This window comes from Homo sapiens, chromosome 10 (assembly GCF_000001405.40).
Source record: "Homo sapiens chromosome 10, GRCh38.p14 Primary Assembly".
Taxonomy (NCBI): Eukaryota; Metazoa; Chordata; class Mammalia; order Primates; family Hominidae; genus Homo; species Homo sapiens.
The window spans coordinates 88,909,673-88,929,567 of record NC_000010.11 but is presented as its reverse complement, the minus strand read 5'-3'; the positions used below and the strand labels follow the sequence as shown (position 1 = coordinate 88,929,567).

At 38.0% G+C, this 19,895-nt stretch overlaps 1 protein-coding gene across 12 annotated transcripts in view; it reads right to left on the bottom strand.

Annotated features, from left to right (window-relative positions):
* Positions 1 to 6,080: 6,080 nt before the first annotated feature.
* STAMBPL1 (STAM binding protein like 1) overlaps positions 6,081 to 19,895 on the bottom strand; it is a 43,243-nt gene continuing 29,428 nt past the window's right edge. For 10 of the 12 annotated variants that reach the window (XM_047425551.1, XM_011539985.3, XM_006717930.4 and 7 more), the window contains 7 exons: positions 18,557 to 18,652; positions 16,110 to 16,467; positions 14,910 to 15,034; positions 12,751 to 12,888; positions 8,173 to 8,285; positions 7,132 to 7,231; positions 6,081 to 6,400 (listed from right to left, as the gene is read on the bottom strand). In XM_047425551.1, coding sequence (XP_047281507.1) covers positions 6,344 to 6,400; positions 7,132 to 7,231; positions 8,173 to 8,285; positions 12,751 to 12,888; positions 14,910 to 15,034; positions 16,110 to 16,467; positions 18,557 to 18,652 — 987 coding nt within the window. In that variant the 3' untranslated portion in view covers positions 6,081 to 6,343. The remainder of the gene's footprint in view (positions 6,401 to 7,131; positions 7,232 to 8,172; positions 8,286 to 12,750; positions 12,889 to 14,909; positions 15,035 to 16,109; positions 16,468 to 18,556; positions 18,653 to 19,895) is intronic. The other 2 variants (XM_047425555.1, XM_017016457.3) reach the window with 1 other exon arrangement.

The following is a 19,895-nucleotide window of genomic DNA, read 5'->3' as shown; positions in this document are numbered from 1 at the left end:
TGCAGATTGACAGTTGCTAGGAGCTGGGGGGGAGAGGGAGGGAAGGGGAGCAACTGCTTAGTGGGTGATATGGTTTGGCTGTGTCCCCACCCAAATCTCATCTTGAATTGTAGCTCCCATAATTCCCACATGTTGTGGGAGGGACCCAATGGGAGATAATTGAATCATGGGGGTGGTTCCCCCATATTGTTCTCGTGGTAGTAAGTCTCACGAGACCTGATGCTTTATAAGGGGAAACCGCTTTCACTTGGCTCTCATTCTCTCTTTTCTGCTGCCCTGTAAAACACGCCTTTCGTCTTCCATCATGATTGTGAGACCTCCCCAGCCAAGTGGAACTGTGAGTCCATTAAACCTCTTTTTCTTTATAAATTACCCAGTCTCAGGTATGTCTTTATCAGCAGGGTGAAAACAGACTAGTACAGTGGACAAGGGATTTTACTCTGGAGTGACAGAAATCTTTTGGAACTAGATAGGGACGGTGGTTGCACAACACTGAATGTGCTAAATGCCACTAAATTGTTCATATTAAAATGGTTAATTTTAAGTTATGTGAATTGAGCTTCAATAAGTTATTTTTTAAAAATAAAAAACATACTGCCTTGGAAAGAACCTTGATAAGTACAAAATTTTATTGCTGAAGACAGCCTGCTGAATCAGTTGATTCACATGCCTTATTTCTGTAGGTAAGGAAATTAAATTTCCTAAAAGTGATATAATTTGCCCATGGTCTTTCCCAAAGTCAAGAGCACAGCAAATGTCTTCTAGTTGCTTGCTTTGCTTTCCTTGTCAGCCTTTATATTAGAAGGAAACATAATTGAGCTTTTTTTCTTTTTAAATCAATCTGTAAATGCCTTTTTCTCTTGGAAAAAGTGCAAAGGAGAATTTTTAAACCTCCTCTTCAGGCTCAAGAATATGAATTCACCATGCATTCCATTGGTACATCTGGGACCCAGTGAGACAATGAATAATTCATGTAAACAACTGTAATTTTTCACTGCCATCTCTTGTTTACCTGATAGAGATGCACGGGTAATGCTCCTTGATTGAGAAAAAAAAATCTAATTATCTCCATTTGGTTTTAGAATGTCTTGTCGTCCAGATAATGTCAAGGCATTTACTTCAAACAAACAAATTAAATAAAGCCAGTCTGCAATGCTCTTAATCTACCTTCCCTCCCCCAGAGTCCTTCTCTGTTTTTTCCTCTCTTGTCTTCTGCATCTCCTATCCCCATCCTGAAGTCCAGCAAGCTGTAGTGACAGACCTTAAGAGTATCACAGGCTTCCTTTCTAAATAATATTCCCTTCCCTGGATTTTCTTTCCCTTTTCCATTTCTCTGTCTGGTTATTCAAACATATACAGGAATATGGATTTTACTAAGTCCTTTAATTATAAAAACATTACAAAATTAAAAATATTATAATTATATAGCAACATTACTAATATGAAAATATATGGCTTTAATTAAGAAATGTTTTTTTGTCAAACAAGTTTGTTCTTCCATGAGGTAAAATTTAATACCTAGTATTATTTAATCAACTGGCAATTCCTTTTGAAAAATATCCTTTTAATGAGTAATTTCTTAAATCTATTTGAAGGCATCTTCACACCAGATCAAAGGTAATATAATAAAAGCTATTCACATTCTCATCAGAATGGTACTTTTTAATATAGTAACTATGGGATCTCAGAAGATGTACAGCAGAGCCTCCATATGGCACTGAAAAAAGACAAGAAACTAGCTAGTTGGCACTCGCATAGTTACGGATCAAATATTGGTGCCCCCGCCATTAATATGCTGAAACCTCATCCTCGTTGCAATGGTATTTGGAGGTGGGGTCGTTGGGCGTTGGGAGATAATTAGGTCATGAAGGTAGGGTCAGGCCCTCGTGATAGTATTTGTGTCCTTATAAGCAGAGACATGAGAGATGATTTCTCTCTCCCCCATTTGAGGGTAGGGCAAGAAGGTAGCCATCTGCAAATAAGGAAGGGAGTCCTCATCAAGAACTGGACTATGCTGGCACCCAGATATCAAATTCCAGCCACCAGAACTGGGTGACAGAAATACAGTGTTGTTTACGTCACCCAGTTTATGGTATTTTTGTTGTAGCAGTCCAAATGAAGGCCTGCCTTTTGATAGTTTAAAAAACAACAACGTCTTCTTGGACATCAGTATGCTAAATCTCTAAGAGCCACTAAGTCATGTTTTCATCAGCTCTCCCCGAGATAATATATTCTGGCCTTATGAAGAACAAAAGAGTAGAAAAGAAAACAAATTTTAAGAAATTTGTTGCAAAGAGCAGAAAAGCTCTTTGCATCTTAGTTGTCTTCCCAGTAAATAACAAGCCAAATTCTTTTAAGAACAAGGAGTTGAAGGTTTACCTTTCTTTCTTAATCATTGCCAAATGCATGACATTTCTCACGCATTCTTTTCACAGAAGATATTCTCTTGCCAGATAATTCTGCAAGACATGCCAGAAGAGAAACATCTGCTTTCCACATTTAGGACCTCCTCAGCTGGTTTTGCAACAGAAACCTCAACCTAAGGTCAAATCATTGTAATAACACAGTCTCCAACACAGTTGATGTGGTTGCAATGTGAAATGAATTGGGAGAAAACAGAAGTGAACCAGTGTGGCGCCAAATAAAATGTCAAATTTCCACAAGCAAAATCCTACTAAAAAGAAACTAGGAACAATTTGAGTAGCTGAGAATAATCCACAAACATTCTGCTTTGCTCTTCTACAACTGACAAGGCCTATGGAAAGAATGATTTCTGCCCTGCATGACAACAAAGAAAGCCATTTCCAATTCAGTCTGTAAGAGAAAAGGAAACAAACAACTTCAGCAAATATTTACCGGATACTACATTAGTTTGTGAGGGCTGCCAAACAGAATACCACAGACCAGATGGCTTAAACAACAGAAAATTATTTTCTCACAGTTCCGGAGGCTGGAAGTCTGAGATCTAGGTTTTGGCAGGGATGGTTTCTTCTGAGATCTCTCTCTCTTTGGCTTGCAGATGGCAGTCTTCTTTCTGTTTTCCCATGGTCTTCCTTCTGTGTATGTCTGTCCTAATCTCTAATTATAAGGACACAACTCATACTGGATTAGTGCCCACTCTACTAGCCTCATTTTAACTTAATTATTTGTGTAAAGGCCCTATCTCCAAACTCAGTCATATTCTGAGGTATTGGGGGGTTAAGGACCTCAACACATGAATTTGGGGGACACAATTCAGCCTATAACAAATACACATGAGGTGTCAGGCACTGTGTGCAAACTGACTAGCACTGAAAATCAAAGGAAGTTCTTAATTGTTTCTTTTTTTTCTACAGAAACACAAATCTGAAAAGAAATGAAGAACCATCTTTGCCTTAGGATGTGGCAAATGGAGCTTTGGAACTGATTCATATTCAAAAGAAGGATCTCCTGCCCTAGCAACACAGCAAGACCTCATTTCTACAAAATAGAAAAAAAATAGCCAGGTGTGGTGGTGAGTGCCTGTAGTCCCAGCTACTCGGGAGGCTGAGATGGGAGGATCGCTTGAGCCTACGAGATCAAGGCTGCGGTGACCCATGATTATGCCATTACACTCCAGCCTGGGCAACAGTGTGAGACCTTGTCTCAAAAAAAGAGAAGGTGCTGTCTGCCTGTTGTGAAAGAGACCTTCCATAGATAGTTTATCCAATGAACACTGGTGCTCATGCACATGTGTGTGTAGTGGCGTCTCCAGGTTGGTTAACAGGGTCTCTGCCTCACGACCAGTCCATTACTTAGTGATGTGGTCACATTTCTGTTGGTTCTTTCAGACACAGCCCCAGGGCCTCATTCTGCCAGCCAAAGTCAGGCTCTGGTTTGCCGCCTCCAACAGTCCCACTCTGTGAGATCCTGGTTAATTTGGTTTGTACTTGGCAAAAAAAAAAAAAAAAAAAAAAAAAAAAAAACCTACAAAAAAGTGCCAAGAATGTCTCCTTTATTTAGGAAATACAATATACTTTCTTAGTGAAAATGAGTTCTCTTCTAGTTTGCTATTCAGAAGGGACATAATGGTTTTGCATACTCATAGCTTCTCTTTCTAGTCTTTCTGGAAATCTAAGATGCTAAATGTTCTTGGCCCTCAACTGAGTCCTTTCTATCTTTAGGCACCATTCAATGTCCATAGCTTTTTCATCGGACAACTCTCATTTTACATCCTCTTAGTGTATTACTATAATTTTTAATTCTATACAAAGGATCTCACTCATTTCTCAACTATCCATTGTCCCAACAATTATTTTTACTTGAATAAAGAATATAACATTTTCCTTTGATCAAGCATATCAGAATATCATGGTGTGTTTAAGTGTTAAGACACTGAGGACAGCACCACTCAGGAAAAAGTGAGGTGTCTATGGAGCCAGCCTTGCAGAGTTAATCTGCTCTTAACTAGTGGTGGCCATAGACTAAAGTCTCCATGCACAAGGCAAGCCAAGCTCTACTTCTGAAGTCTGATACCTGAGCTCTCCATAGCTAGAAGATTCCATGAAACAGAAACAAGCCACTGACTTGCCCATAGTAGGTGGTTCTGTATAAATGAGAACAGGAACAGAATTCAGGTGACATGATACCAGAATTGAGAACTAGACAAGCAGGGAGGGTTGATGCATTAGTCCATTCTCATGCTACTATAAAGAACTGACCAAGGCTGAGCAATTTCTAAAGGAAAGAGGTTTAATTGACTCACAGTTCTGCATTGCTGGGGAGGCCTCAAGAAACTTAAAATCATTGCGGAAAGGGAAGCAAAACACGTCCTTCTTCACATAATGGCAGGAAGAAGTGCTGAGCAAAAGGGAAAAAGCCCCCTATGAAACCATCAGATATCCTGAGAACTCACTCACTATCATGAGAACAGCATGGAGGTAACCACCCCAATGATTCAATTACCTCCCACCAGGTCCCTCCTACTATGATTTAAGATGAGATTTGGGTGGGGACACAGCCAAACCATATCAGATGTTAACCCATCCAAGCACAGAGTACAGGAAATACCACTCTGGAATATGGAAATCATTGAACTAAGCAGTGGAAGCTAGTACATGGAAACATGAGTTGTTTAGGCAACTCAGATACAATGTCATGAGGAAAGCAAAGGCAGGGAGAGCTGTGGCTGGCACAGAAGACATTGGGAAGACAGAAGGTTTCATAGGATTAGTTTGGCCCTGTTGAAAAGTTGTGGAGATCCAGGGAGAGATGGCTGGAGAAGGAAACTTAAACGTTGAAAAGAAAAAAGAAGAAAGCTAGACTAGAGTAATGTAAGGCCCTAAAGGATGAAAAGGGAGACTAAGAAGTGATCACAAGTTTCTCGATCAAGGAAAGGGCTGTCAGCCCAGGATTTCCCAATGTGCCTGGGAGCAATGTCTTCCAAGATAAAGATTTCACCTGCAGAACTAGTCTTCAGTGTCCCAAAGGACCTATTCTCAAATAACTCAACAATATCACTTCCATTCTGCCCTCTGTGTATCTGCAGCTAAGATTTCTCCACACTGTTTCCATCCTCAGGTTTTTCCTACCAATTCAACTTGCTAACAGAGTTAGCAAGTTGACTAAGAATTATCAGTTATTTCTTATGTCTCATTTCTTCTTCCTATCACCCCTGTTCATTTTCACAGTAACAGGTTTTGTACTTTTATCTGAGTCTTTTTTTAAAAAAAAAATCCTCTCTCAAGCTTCTCTACTTTTAGTCTTCTAAATCAAATTAATGAATTGTCTGCTATCCCAGGCCCTCTGACACCTGATCCCTGAATAGAAGTGTTGTTCTTGTATCTTACACAATGATTCACTGCAGAGATATCTCTCTGAGCCTGGGATTTCATGACACTGAAAACACAGAACAAGCTTTATCAATGGCAGCCATATTTCATCTACACATGGAAGCTGTTCACCTACCTCAGGGGAAGGTTTCAGAAACAGATGGTCTGCTTTGGAGACTATATACACTCAGAATTTCTTATTTGGAATTACATTTTACATGAATAAAAAATATAGCAAATCATCTAAAGCTCTAAAAATGTATGCAGAGACCTCTATAAATACAAGACATGTTGTTTGCAGCACAATTTATTATCTGGCCATAGTATTTGGGTACATTATCAGGTACCGATTTAACACCATGTAACCTCTCTTGACACAGAGCAACCCAAAAAGAAAACTTTAAAATGTGCAACAGCAATAAATATCAAGCTTTGTCATCTAAAATGTATAAATATAAAATATCAGTCATTTCTGGAAACATCTTAAGAAAATCCGGCAACCACATGTCCATGAGTAGGTGTCTGATGTTGACGGTGCTTACATTCAGAACATATCACCTCAGATCCAACACAATTATTTTTATGTCTTTTACCAACACATGTTTGCATATCTAGGAAAGAAAAAATTGGTTTTACCATATGTTTGATTTCACCATAATGTTTACCATATGATTTTCTTTAGGGAGGAAGTATAGATTTCCTAATTTTAATTTGTTCCTGATTTTTAAAATATTTCCAATCAGAACAAATACAATCACATTTATTCATTTTCAACAACAACAAAAATATTTACAGGGGTTGCCAAATAATTTTCATTTTAAGTAAATTCTAACGTCAATATAATGTTCTCTGATGTTATAGCCACAGAACCTCCAAGAAAATTAGGAAAAAAAAAGGCGTAGTCAAATGTTTCTTTTGGACTATGCAAAGGTAATCAAGAAGTATGATCATAGTTTCCATCAATTGCTATGAAAAAACTAATTTGGCCATATCAAGCAGAAAGAATTCATGCAACATTTTAAATGTCATTTTCTATGATAATTGTTTACTTATTTGGACTCTGAAGAAAACTTTTAAATATCATACATATACATAAGCGGAAAGGTAACTTTGTGCACCATTAATTCTGCTACAGAAATACTGATGTTTCCTTGTAAATACAATTATTTTGAGAATAAATCAGAAATTAAGTATACAGATAGATTAATTTTCTGAGATAAAACTCCAAACTAAGCAGTACAGTATTTTATCTTATATTAGACTGCTACTATTTATTTAAAAACAGATTGGGGGGGCAGTGAACAAGAAATACCTGGAAAAATAACTAATATGATGTACTCACACTGAACAGCCTGGGCTCCTTGGTGTGTGGATGAAAGCCCTTTTTTTTACAAGCAGAAACCTCAAGCATGCCAGCATTGGTGAGCCTGAAGATGCCAGTGCTAAATTTCAGAGCAAAAACAAGATAGAAAAATTAAGGATCATTTGGGCATTCCAGATGCTTTATTTGAACAGCACACACATACATATTCCTCAGATGGGATTGAGAAATCACAAACTAGGAATTCCATAGTGATTTTTTTTTTAAACCAATGACTGGTCCAGAGGAGAGAAACCCAGGAGGAGGCAATGCTGCTGCTAAGAGCCTGCAGGACCGTTAAGGGGACAAGGCAAATAAGCTATCGTGTGTGACCCCAGAGGAAAGGCCAAAGCCCCACTAGAGAGTCTCATGAGAGGAAATTACAAGTGGCAGATATTTCGAATCTTCTAATTATGTTAATACAGATTATAGCAATAGCAAATATGTATTGAGTACCTGCTGTGGTACCAGGCACTATGCTGAGCACTGTACATAAACTATTATCTAATTTCATCTTTACATCCATCCCCGATGGGCAGGTATCAGGGATGAAGAGGCAGAGACCCACAGTGGTCAAGTATCCTGCCTAACACACCACTTGAGGGGTGGAGCCAGGATTTCAATATGTTTTTTTGATTCCCATGCTCATAACTACTCTACAATAATCATTGTTCCCCAAAGCTAGAAAGGTTTTTTTCTCAGCTAAGGCAAGAACATTTCTTATGGTAGAACATAATACAGTAGAAATAAGTCCTAAAAAGGCTAACTGGGATAGCATCTTTCTTAAATGTTATTCACTTCAAAGTCACGCTAACTGAAGAAAGAAAATCAGTAATTCTGCCACTGAAAGGACCTTAAACTGCAGAGCTATAGGTCTATGGCAGCTGACTACTACCCATCTCTTTTTCCCGAGGGCGTTGTGTGCTTGCCAATCCAAGTACCACAACCTGGTGTCTGGACACACAGGAACCCAGCAGCCCTGGACAAAGCCTTCTTTGGTCTCCCCTGAAGAGTTACACTTACTCTTTATGCTTTGGTGAGCAAACAATGGCAATGGCCTCTGGCAACATGAGTTGATAGGAACAGTGAGTGTGAAGATCAACGCTGGATAAAAATGCAGTTTGAGTGGGATGTGTCTATAAATAGAAAATAAGATAATCTTACTAGGATAGCTGTCTTAGCCAAGGCCATAGGCTATTTTAATAGAAAACTCTGTTTTTTTTTAGTTTTTACCATCATTAATCAAATAAGGATTTTTAAAAAGGTTTTGCTGACATAATCCTTCCCTTTATGCCAACTATTTGCTATTTTGGAATAACTACAATTCTGAGAAGAGGCTCCTAGAAGTGTTAGTGTACTTTCTTCTTTTTGGGAAAGAAAGAGCTGGAAATTAATTTGCTAGGGGCTTTAAATAGATTCTCATATAATTATCACAACTCATTTATGAGATACTTATTTTATTATCTCAATTTTACATACAAGGATCCCAAAACTAAGGGAGGTTACATAATGTGCCTGTGGTCACACGGCTGGTAAGGAGCAGAGCTGTGATTGGAAACCCTGGGCACAAGATACATATATACAACATTATGAACATTAAAAGAAAGTTTTCACTAAATAGACCACATGCTGCTGTGTATCCTTTTGTGGATTGTCATTTCCTATAAATGGGAGAATGGGAGACTCCAAGTTGTTGAAGGTATTTGGGACTAATCTCGCATAGCAACTAAATACATGGGGAGAAAAAAAGGGGGATTATAAATTACAAGAAATCTGCCAAGTTTCTGGCTATATACAAATGTGTTTATGCATGGCCAATCGGAGGTTCATATTTGAATATAAAAAATAAATGCACACCTAGTTATTTTAGAAATTCATATTAAACCCTAATTACTCTTAGAAAAAAGAATGTGACTATTTTAATCATGAAACAAAGATTCTTGGCACCACTCTCTAGGTCCTGACTCCATTACTCACTAGCTATATGACGCTGAAGATTTCTTAACCTTCTCTTGCCCATTTCATCATCTGTAAAATTGGGATAATATTTTCTGCATGGGATTGTTATGAAGATCAAATAGGACAGTCCATTAAAATTCCTGGAACAGTGCTTAGCGCATAGAAATAAAAGTCATTAGCTGTTGTTATTGCTAGTGTTATATTAAATGTATTTATTAACTAAAAGGCACAGAGCCATAGTAGTAGCTAAATGCCTTTACACAAAACTATATTCTATTAAAGAAATGTAAGATTTTAAAACTATTTTTAGGCCAGGCATACCGGCTCATGCCTGTAATCCCAACACTTTGGGTGGCCAAGGTGAGAGGATCAGTTGAGCCCAAGAGTTCAAGACCAGCCTGGACAATATAGGTAGACTCCATCTCTCCAAAACAAACAAAAAAAAAGTTTTTTTAATTAGCTAGGCATGGTGGCATGTGCCTGTAGTCTCAACTACTTGAGGGGGCTGAGGTGAGAGGAGCGCTTGAGCCAGGGAGGTTGAGGCTGCAGTGAGCTGTGATCACTCTACTGCACTCCAGCCTGGACAACAGAGCAAGATCCTGTCTTGAAAAAAAAAAAGGCAAGACAACGTTTTTTTTCGGCTTTAATAGAATGAAGGTAAAATCAGATGATGATTTACAGAAAGGTACATGTTCTGCAAGGAAAAAATAACACTTGGCATATAAAAACTTAGATCAACAAAGGAATGGAAATTATCCTAACTTTTAAAATGCAAATCTTCAGTAGGGGGTATGAGTGGGAGTATCTGACAGCCTGTTATCTTACAAGGAATACCTTCTCTTTGTAAAATAGAGCCGTCTATGTCTTCGTGAGAAATTAAAAATTGTTCAAAGAAACCACAGTGCTGTGGAGGCAGCAAGCAGGTTATTAAACAGACAAATCACTCTGCTTGTCAAGTTATTTGAACACAGAATGCACACCACATGACCTGAGTCCTTCATTTCTACCAAAAGGAATTATGTCCATTCCAATTAGGACAGTTTTCCCATGGGAGAATGAGGCTCCCATTCCCTCACTCTACAGAAATGAAAATGATGATGATGATGATAACAATGGCAGCAGATGCCATTTATTGCAACTGTATAATGTGAACTAATCACTTTTCATGAGTCATATCATTGAATTCTCACAGCAACAAGATAAGTACTATTATAATCCCCATTTTGCAGATGAGGAAACTGAGGTAAGCAGGAAAGTGAGTAACTTGCTGATGCTCATAAAACTAGTTAAACCAAAATGTCTAAAGTCAAATACATGTCTGTCTGACTATGTTTCAGACCTTTTATTCCTATGACTAATTTGTATTTGAAAAAAGCCAGCTCTGGAATTTGTTGCTATTATTATACTTAATAAAAACCGTCATAAAAAGTCATTACAATCACTTAGGTTTAGAAATGTAACATTTTTGTATTTTCATCCAACCACAATAATTTGATACGGTGAAATGAGTTTAACAAAAAGTCCTAAAATTCAAGAATTATGCTAAACTTATTAAACAACTTACCTTCATAATTGCATGCATTATGTCCACGGTAGGTCATAAGGGGAAAATTTTTGTTTCTAATTTGGAAAATGTTTTGTTAGATAAACTAACATTGACTTGTCAGTGTAAATGCATAATTTAATGGACTGTCATTCTTGCTAGAATTTGTTTTGCTTTAAAATGCATTCTTGTTACAGAAATCATGTTACGCTAAATAAGGCATTCTTTTTATAGAAATCATGTTAAGCTAAATAATATAGCAATTTCCAGGCAAAGTGTAATGCATATTACTCACTGTTAAGTAACGCAAATAGACATATGAAGAGTTTTACAAACTCTTCATTATAAATAATTTCTTGCATTTGACAGGCAGTTTATACTTTTCAAAGAGCTTTCACACCTGGTATCTTGTTTCCTGTTCACAGAAATCCAGTGAGGAGAGAAGGTATTCATTAGCCTCACTCAGTCAATGAGGAAATCTGGAAATGAGGCTAGAAGTCCTAACTGATAGCACATAGTAATTTACAGGAAGAGTTGGGACTAAAGTCTCCTGTACCCTCCAGAACTGCATAATACCAAATGCTTAGGAAATGTGTGTGTGTGTGTGTGTATGTGTGTGTGTGTGTGTGTGTGTGCATGCTGCTCCTCCCCAGTGCTTCTCTATAAAGCAAGTAAAATACAAAATGATCATGTATCATTCCTCAAGGGCACTTGGAGGTCCCCAGAATGTGTCCTGGAAATTTTCTTGGCCAGTATCCCATCTCAGTGGGATGGCTTATCCTAACATGCTATGGTTTGAATGGTGGGGTTTCCACCAATATTCACGATGAAACTTAATCCTCAATGCAACAGTATTAAGAAGTGTGGTCTTTGGGAGGTGATGAATCATGAGGGCTCCACTCTAGTGAATGGTATTAAGACCCTTGTGAAAGGGCTCAAGGTTGAAGGGAGTGCTCTCTTGCCCTTCTGCCTTCCACCCTGTGAGGACACAGCAACAAGGTGCCATGGGTGTGTAGTGAAGGCTGCTCATGGAAGCTGAGAGCAGCCCTCACTAGACATCAATGCTGGTGCCTTGATCTTGGACTTTCCAGTCTCCAAGACCAGACAAAATAAATTTCTGTTCTTTTTAAATTATCCTGTATTAGGCATTTTGTTATAGCAGCAAAAACACACCAAGACATTATCCTAGATCCAGCTTATGTAAGACTGAATGGAAAAAACTTCCCTCAGCTGGATTGCACTATGGCTAGAAAGGATAGATTATTATCACCAATTATAACAGTTACAATTTTCTGAGTCCCTCAAAAAATGTGCTATGAAACTCACCAATAGTATCTCATTTAATATGAAACATCCTGTGAAGTCAATTATTATGATCTCCACTTTATGGATGATAAAACTGATGCTCGGATTGCTTAATAACTTGCCAATGCTCCTATAGTGAATTCTTACCAGAGCCAAGATTTAACCTCATGTCTACTTGATTTGCTCCTATGATGGCCTGGTGGATGTTGGAATTCAATGTTTTGGGCCCTATCCTCTTGCCTTACTATGTGGCTGTTTGTACAGTGATCCCATACATCGTTTGCCTGTCTGAGGGGTGTCAGGGAGTGTGGCTGATATATACAAACACATGTTTAAAAGAAACACTTTCAGATATTTTCTTAAAATAATCTAATTTAGACCCACACTAACAGTTGTCTAGCCAAATCAGTTAACAATTTGGCTAAGCCTTCACTAGGCTATGTAAAATCATCTAAAACAAATCACTGATTTCCAAATGTTACTCGCTTTCTTTCTATGTCTTTTAACTTCAGATGATACAAAAAAGCATAAGATACACGTTCTCCAAATCCAGATTTGACAGGTTTAGGCACAGTCTAACACTGAAAAATATGCTATAATATGATGACCTTTATTTTTTTAATATCTGTTATTCTTTTCTCTTTGCTTGAGAACCACTACTTAAATGACAACCTTTATTACATTTGAAAAAATTAAAAAGAAGAAGCTATTTAAATGAAGCTAAACTTTTCTTCAAGGAGGAAAATAGCATGCCACACACACAAAAAAACTGAAACCCAAAAGGTCAAACGTACATGGATCCATCCTAGAGTGAGGAGATCATGTTGATCCTGAACATTGAATAATTCCTCTACATTCTCCATGTCACAATAGTCTGGTCCCGCAGACTGCTTTGGCACAATTACATGGGTAATAGTAAATTCATTATGTGTCTAAAAAACAATAGCAGAAAGAATGACATGCATCTCACAGAAAAAAAAAAAATAACTGAACAGGAAATGAAATGTTTAAGACTAAAGAGTCCCCCAGCAGGGGGGTGTGTCCAGGTACAGGGACCACTTACATCATCCCTCCCTGTACCTGGACACACCACCCTTTCCAATTCAAAAACAAAGTCCCAACAGTAAAAATGGATTCTTTGCCAAAACTTTGAGAATCAGTTGTTTGTAGCTTGAAACCCAGTTTCACAATAGAAAACATAACAGAAATAGGAACTTGCATTCCAGGCTGGTCTGTGGAAGTTTAGTTAATAAATGATGTCTTGATATATCTATAATGGAAAAACTGAACAAAACAAAGACAGATTTATTTGGAGGGGGAGACACTAGTTAAATAATTTTGTGGTGTTACCAAAAGGCATTTCTTAGGGTTGTGAAGGTTGATGGTTTTGTTTCTGTTTTACTAATTATATTTAATGTCACTTCAAGACTTAAGACATTCTTCGAATGCTGGGAGGACTTACTAGGATCTTCTGTAATTAAGATAATGTTTTGGATTTGCAATCAGATAAAGAGAAAGGAAAAAACAAATTACCCCCCTTAGGCAAAAGATAAGAGTTGAGAGGAAGAGGGTTGTGAAGTGCCACGGGATCCTCAAGGAACAGATGTTTGTGCAATGAGAGGCTATCTTCCCCCAGGCAGGCTGGCCTTTCTCCCATCCAGAGGACCATCCTCTCTCTAGCCTTAGGGCTTTCCTGCACACTATGCACTGCTCCTTTGCCCTGATTTCAACTCTTCCCTCCATCCAACCTCCTCCTTTATGTATTCTTCAGGCCTAGCTCAAACATCACTTCTCAGGGAAACCCTTCTTGACCCCTCAGACAAGGTTAGATTTCCCAGTTACAAACTCCCATGATGCCCTACACTTGCACAGACAGCACTTAGCCCCACTTATTATTAGTCATCTGTCTGGGTCTTCACAGCATCGTAAGCATCGTGAGGCAGGGACCGTGGCTGTTGCAGGATACCAAATGCTAATAACCAGCACAGTGCCTGGCACATTTAGATATTCGGTAAATGTTTGTCTGACAATGGAGTGAACGAATCAGTCAACCAATCTGAATACAACACGATGTGGGGGTGAATGCTTCAATAGCACACTGTCCCCTTAAGTGCAACAGAGGCGACTATAGATGCCCATTCTCCTGTGCTGCCACCAATGGCTTCCTATCTCTTGGAGGGAAAGTGATGACAAAACACTGGAATGCAGCAGGAGATTGTGTACTGAATACAATGTATTATTATTCAATAAAGCAGAGGTTCCTAAGCTAAATTTTGAGAACTGAAAATATACCTGGACCCAGATATATAAACTGGTACTCAAAACAGACTATGAAAGGACACGTCCAAAGAAACATTATCTCTGTTGTAGATAGGAAATTGAATGCATCTCCTCTCTTTCATCCCTTCTATTATGACATTGTCTTTCATCACATACTTATGATGACATCTTCCATAATTAAGTATGTCCTGTGCTTATAGGCTTTTGTTGAAACTACTGCCTTAAACTAAAGGAAACTACAAAATCCTAGTTTTATTCCACGTGTATCTGAAAAAGAACAGCAAGATAATACATGCCACAGATGAAGTTAATTATATGAATGTATGTGAAACTAACAATTACAATGAAAATTTGATTTGGCAACCAGATAGATTTGGAAATCTGAAGACCTATATTTCGTACCATTTTTCTAATCAAAGATTTAATTTATAGGTTGATTCTTTAGGACAAGTTTTTATAGTGTCTCTGAAATTTTACAATCTATTTTCTAAAAGGATCATTCCATTAGTAATGACAATAGTTTTATAAAGTTAATCTGTGTAACGTTAATTTCATAATATTGATAACTCTTAGCATGGTTTTATTCTGTTCCACTTATCAGAAGAAATCTAGTACTATTAAAAGTATCCTATGCAGATATATATATATATATATTTATATAAAAAGATCATACCAGTTTTCCACAGAGTATTCCACAGGTTTCTATTCCTCTCACTGTATTAGATTCTGCCAGTTGCAGAAATTTGTGGCAAAGATCTTCTGGCAAAACTACACATCGCAGTCCTTCAACCACTAAATCTAAGAAACAAAAAAGGGAGAAAAGGCTAAAAAACAAACTATATGTCCCATCTTTCAAAATTGTTATTGGCAAACAGTTGCAGTTGGACATAAATTTCAAAAATAAAAGTATCAGGTGTTCCACTTTCCATATTTTATTTTAAAACTCTTAGAAGTAAACATTAACTAGAAGTAAAATTAAATTATGTATATAAATTATTTTATAAGCAAAATCAGAAGGTACAAGCACTTTTACATGTTTGTATCTTGGGTTAACTATTTACATGTTATGTTATCTTTAGGCATGAAGCAAATATAGGGTTAAATGCATAGGCTGCATAGAATGCATCTCATATCCTATAAGACATAGATAAATATTGTGTTTATCATGTTACTTCTATCTTCATGAAAGTTGGTGATCAGTAAGTAAAAGCACAACGTTTTGGTAAACAATCAGCAGTAAAGTAACTTTCAAAATGGTTGCCTATTATCGCTCATTTCAAATAAATGGGAACACAAATTCTATCTGACAGTGTCTGCGAAGAAGAATTCTGTGTTTTGGAAACTTGCCAGCACTGATCTGGCAGTACTGAGCAGCACTAATTCTTGCGGAAACACACGGTCCATTTGGAGGTTAATTATCTATGTGTATGAGATTCTCTCAGTCCAAGGATGATGCTAAACATATTGAGTATAAACATTTATTGCTGAGCAAAGGTCTAGATAAACAATTTTCTCACACCTTTTCTCCCCAGAAAGATGGATGTATTTAAGATGTATGTATTTCTTAGTTAAAATACATAGAAGACAAAAGTACTTGAAATTCTTCTCATTTAAAACCTCTGTCAATGACAAAATACTTCCCATTTATTATAGAGTCTCTGCTCTATCGGGGGCATCATATTTCCTGAATTTTAAGATTATATATAGTAAAAGCTAGAGAGTATTGAAAGGTTAATTCTTTCATTCATACCATATTATGCAGGGGTCCTACTACAATTAATAATGAAATGAGAAGGACCCTCCCAGATGCTATAGAAATATGGTTCCATCCGATGAGGCTCAGTGTCTCACATGGGTGCATTTCATCACTTACTCTGAACAGCACTTAGAGTAGCAGCTGGCGTTAAGGCCCTGTTTACAGGAGGAGAGTGGCTAGCATAATTGGTTGCATCACTTTTATTAGGTTGATCTGCAAATACATTCAGCAAGGAATTGTTCTGGTGTGTGGAAAAGCAGGACAAAGCGCTCCCATCAATCTGCTCTGACAGCCCTGAGGTTTGCTGACTTCGCATTTGACCTCGGGCTAACTCTTGCTTCTTGAGTTGATCTTCGAAAAACAGAAACTGCTCCGATTCTAGCTGCTGCTGGCGCATCTGAGCAATCCGCTTCCTTTCTGCCTCTATCAATCTCTGATGCTCCAATTTTTTGAGAATTTCAGCTTTATATTTGTTCTAAAAAGTGTGGCAGCCAGAAGAGAAGGTTAGTTTCCAAGGAGAAACATTGAACTGGAATTAGACATTTTCAGTCTTCAAGCAGACAGAGAAAATGCTAGATACTGTGATATGCCCACAGGGACACTCATGGAACAGTGAGAGAAATACATAACATCAGGGCAAAAGCCCCTTGATCTGATTAACATAGCAGTTCTAAATCCACTGATATTTTACCAGAGACAGGCCATGACAATCAGGATCCCTTCATTCCCTAATGCTTTTAAATACTGGAAAATCAACGTCAAGGTTGTTTGCTCAGTCAGACCAACAAGACCATATGAAACAAAATATCTCACCCCTACTGCACTTCTAATATAGTGGCCACTAGCCACATGTGGTTATTTGAACTTGATTAAAATTAAACAAAATTAGAAATTCAGTACCTCAGGGACACTAGTCAGTCACATTTAAGTACCCAGAAGCCACATGTGGCTAGTGGATACCATATTGGAAAGTGCCAAACAGAACACTTCCATCATCACAGGAGTTCTATTGAACAGTGCTGCCCTAGAACCTTTCGCATTTGACTCTAGAACTCATACTCTGCTGGAAATTTATGGATAAGAAGGAATCACTAAAAAATGGTTATTAAAATGTGTTCCAACCTTCTCTGTCACCACTAACCCAGAGTTTTGCTAAAAAGGAGGAGTCCCAAGCTCTCCAGTTCTAACAAAATATCCAGGCTTATTAGGTCAGATAATATGAAATATTAATGAGCCTTTCAGGTGATTTTGATAGAAACTAGATTTGGGAGCTACTGTAAGATGGCGGTAGCATGGGGGACACAGCTTATAGTGGCACATTCAGGTGCATACAAATCATCCTGGGGCTAATTGCAGTTGCAAATCCTGATTCAGCAGGTCTGGGGTGGGGCCTGAGATTCTGCGTGTCTAACAAGCTTCCAAATGATGCTAATGCTGGTGAAGCAAGGGCTCACAGGCATTGCTGTTTATCTCTCCTAGGCTCAGTCCTGCTATTCTAAACCCACAGAGATTCCCACATGGGTCACCACTGTAGGCTATGAAGTGACTGGTATCAAAGGCAAAACATGCAACAGCTGCAGAGCCTGTTCCTCCCAGGAAGATCATGAAGAGGAAGATCATACACATTGCTGACCGTGGAAAGGAGACTTGAACTGGGCTTTCGTCTCCCTTGCTGTTGTTGCTTTGTCTTACCCTCCAAGAAAATTTCTATCTTTCATATTTCAAGTCACATTATTAATATACACACTTGAGGGACATTTCCAATTTCACCATTCCCTCTACCACTTCGTTAAAACTCTCCACTCAAGCCAGCCTTCCACCTATGCCCATAGAAAGTCAAAAAGCTCAATGAGCATTCTCAGAGATGATGAGATTGAACTGAAGTGAGAGTCAGTGAAGGTGGTAACCCCTAAAGCAAATAAAACACAAACAAAAAAGCAAAATAACATCTATAATGATGCTATGTTGAACGTGAGTATCCCATACATTCACTGGCCAATTTCTTCTTCCAATGCCTTTCTGCCTCTCAGACATTATCATAATGTTCACTCTTTATTAATAACAATCCAGAAGCCACCACTTTTGGGTGATATGATTACATTTCAACCACAAGGTTAGCTGTTATTCTATCTCAATGCAATACTGACTGTAACATTCTAAGAATCAAATTCACATTTCTAAGGCCTACATCATTAGGCACATCAGAAACCATATACTGCTCTCCCTACCTCCTACTGGCTGTTCATCTGGCAAAAGAGCAGCCATCTGGCTCAAGGTTATCTGGCTCAAGAGTTAATCAAAAAGTTCTACTTAAATCGCTGCAGGAAATCTGTTTTCTAACACATTGCTTTGTTAGATATTGTAGGGAAATAGAAATACCACATTGTTGGTGAAACTGCTTAACCTGGATATCAGCATAAATTTTTTATTGGTTCCATATCACTGCATCTTTAATTTTTAATTTAAATGCACAAAACATTTGAAAAACTCATCACATAAAAATGAAATTCAAAAAATACTTGTACATAAAATAGTCATGAAATAAATGTACCAACTGAACTTACTTTGCTTTGCAAATATTCTTGGTATTCTACGTTATATTTCTTTAAAAGGTCGTTTTTCAATTCATCTGTCCTTGGGAATGCAATCTCCTTCAGTTTCTTTTAAAAATATATATACATATTGATTAGTGGGATTTTCAATACACTCTTTCAGATCATCAGGTGAGAAAGAAAAACAGCTGGTAGGTATACTGCAAATAAAGTCATGAGTAACCAAAGATGATGGCAGAAAAATAAATCTCTTTTTTATGGGTCCAAAATATAACTTTCCAGCAGGAAAGAAACACTATTATCCCTTTTGTAAGACCTTTATTGGCCCCACTGATTGGATAAGCATTTTGTTATAGCCCAATGCTATAAAATGTAAATAGCTAGAACTTTGTGGCTACCTTTGTGGTACCCCATTTTTAGGCAGTGAGTTTGAGATCAATGACTTGTTCTATAGTACATAAATCATGTAGCATCAGAATTAGAAGGGATGTGAGAGAATATATGGTGGATAGGGATTTCCAGACATGCTAGACTGTAAAAAGAATAGCTGAGGCACTTTTTATAAAAATACAGACCCCCCCAAGCCTAATCTGGATCTACTGAATTAACACCTGTAGAGAAGGGGTCTGGGAATCTGGATCTCAAACAGCTTCCTCAGAGATCGTTAATGGCAGGAAAATCTGGGAATTCTTATATAGTCCAACTACCTCTTCTTTTTTAGAGTTGAGGATACAAAGGCCTGGAGAGACTGAAAGTCCTGTTCGGTATTATGCAACCAGCTAGCGGCCCATTTAGGACTGGAACTCAAGTCTCCTGACTCTAGCTCTTTCACCAAATTTCTATTCTCTTAATCCTTTGTCATTCATTTATGTATTTATTCATATATCTATTCAATAAGCATAAACAAGGGAAATGTATATGGTTTTGGAGAATTTTTCTCCTACAAAAAAAATAAGCATAACCCTAAGTTATAGTACATGAGTCACCGTGACAGCCTGGTACCTTTGGTTTCCAAACAGAACTCTCTGAGGTTGAATGAACAAGAGAACTGAGGGGAAATGTTACACAAAGACATGATAATAAATGATACTTCAGGTAAGTGACTGTAGACATTAAAAAAGTTGGCTGGGTGCGGTGGCTCACACCTGTAATCCTAACACTTTGGGAGGCAGAGGCAGGTGGATCACTTGAGGTCAGGAGTTCAAGACCAGCCTGGCCAACATGGTGAAACCCCATCTCTATTAAAAATACAAAAATTAGCTGGGCATGGTGGCAGGTGCCTGTAATCCCAGCTACTCAGGAAGCTGAGGCAGAGAATTGCTTGAACCCAGGAGGCGGGGGTTGCAGTGAG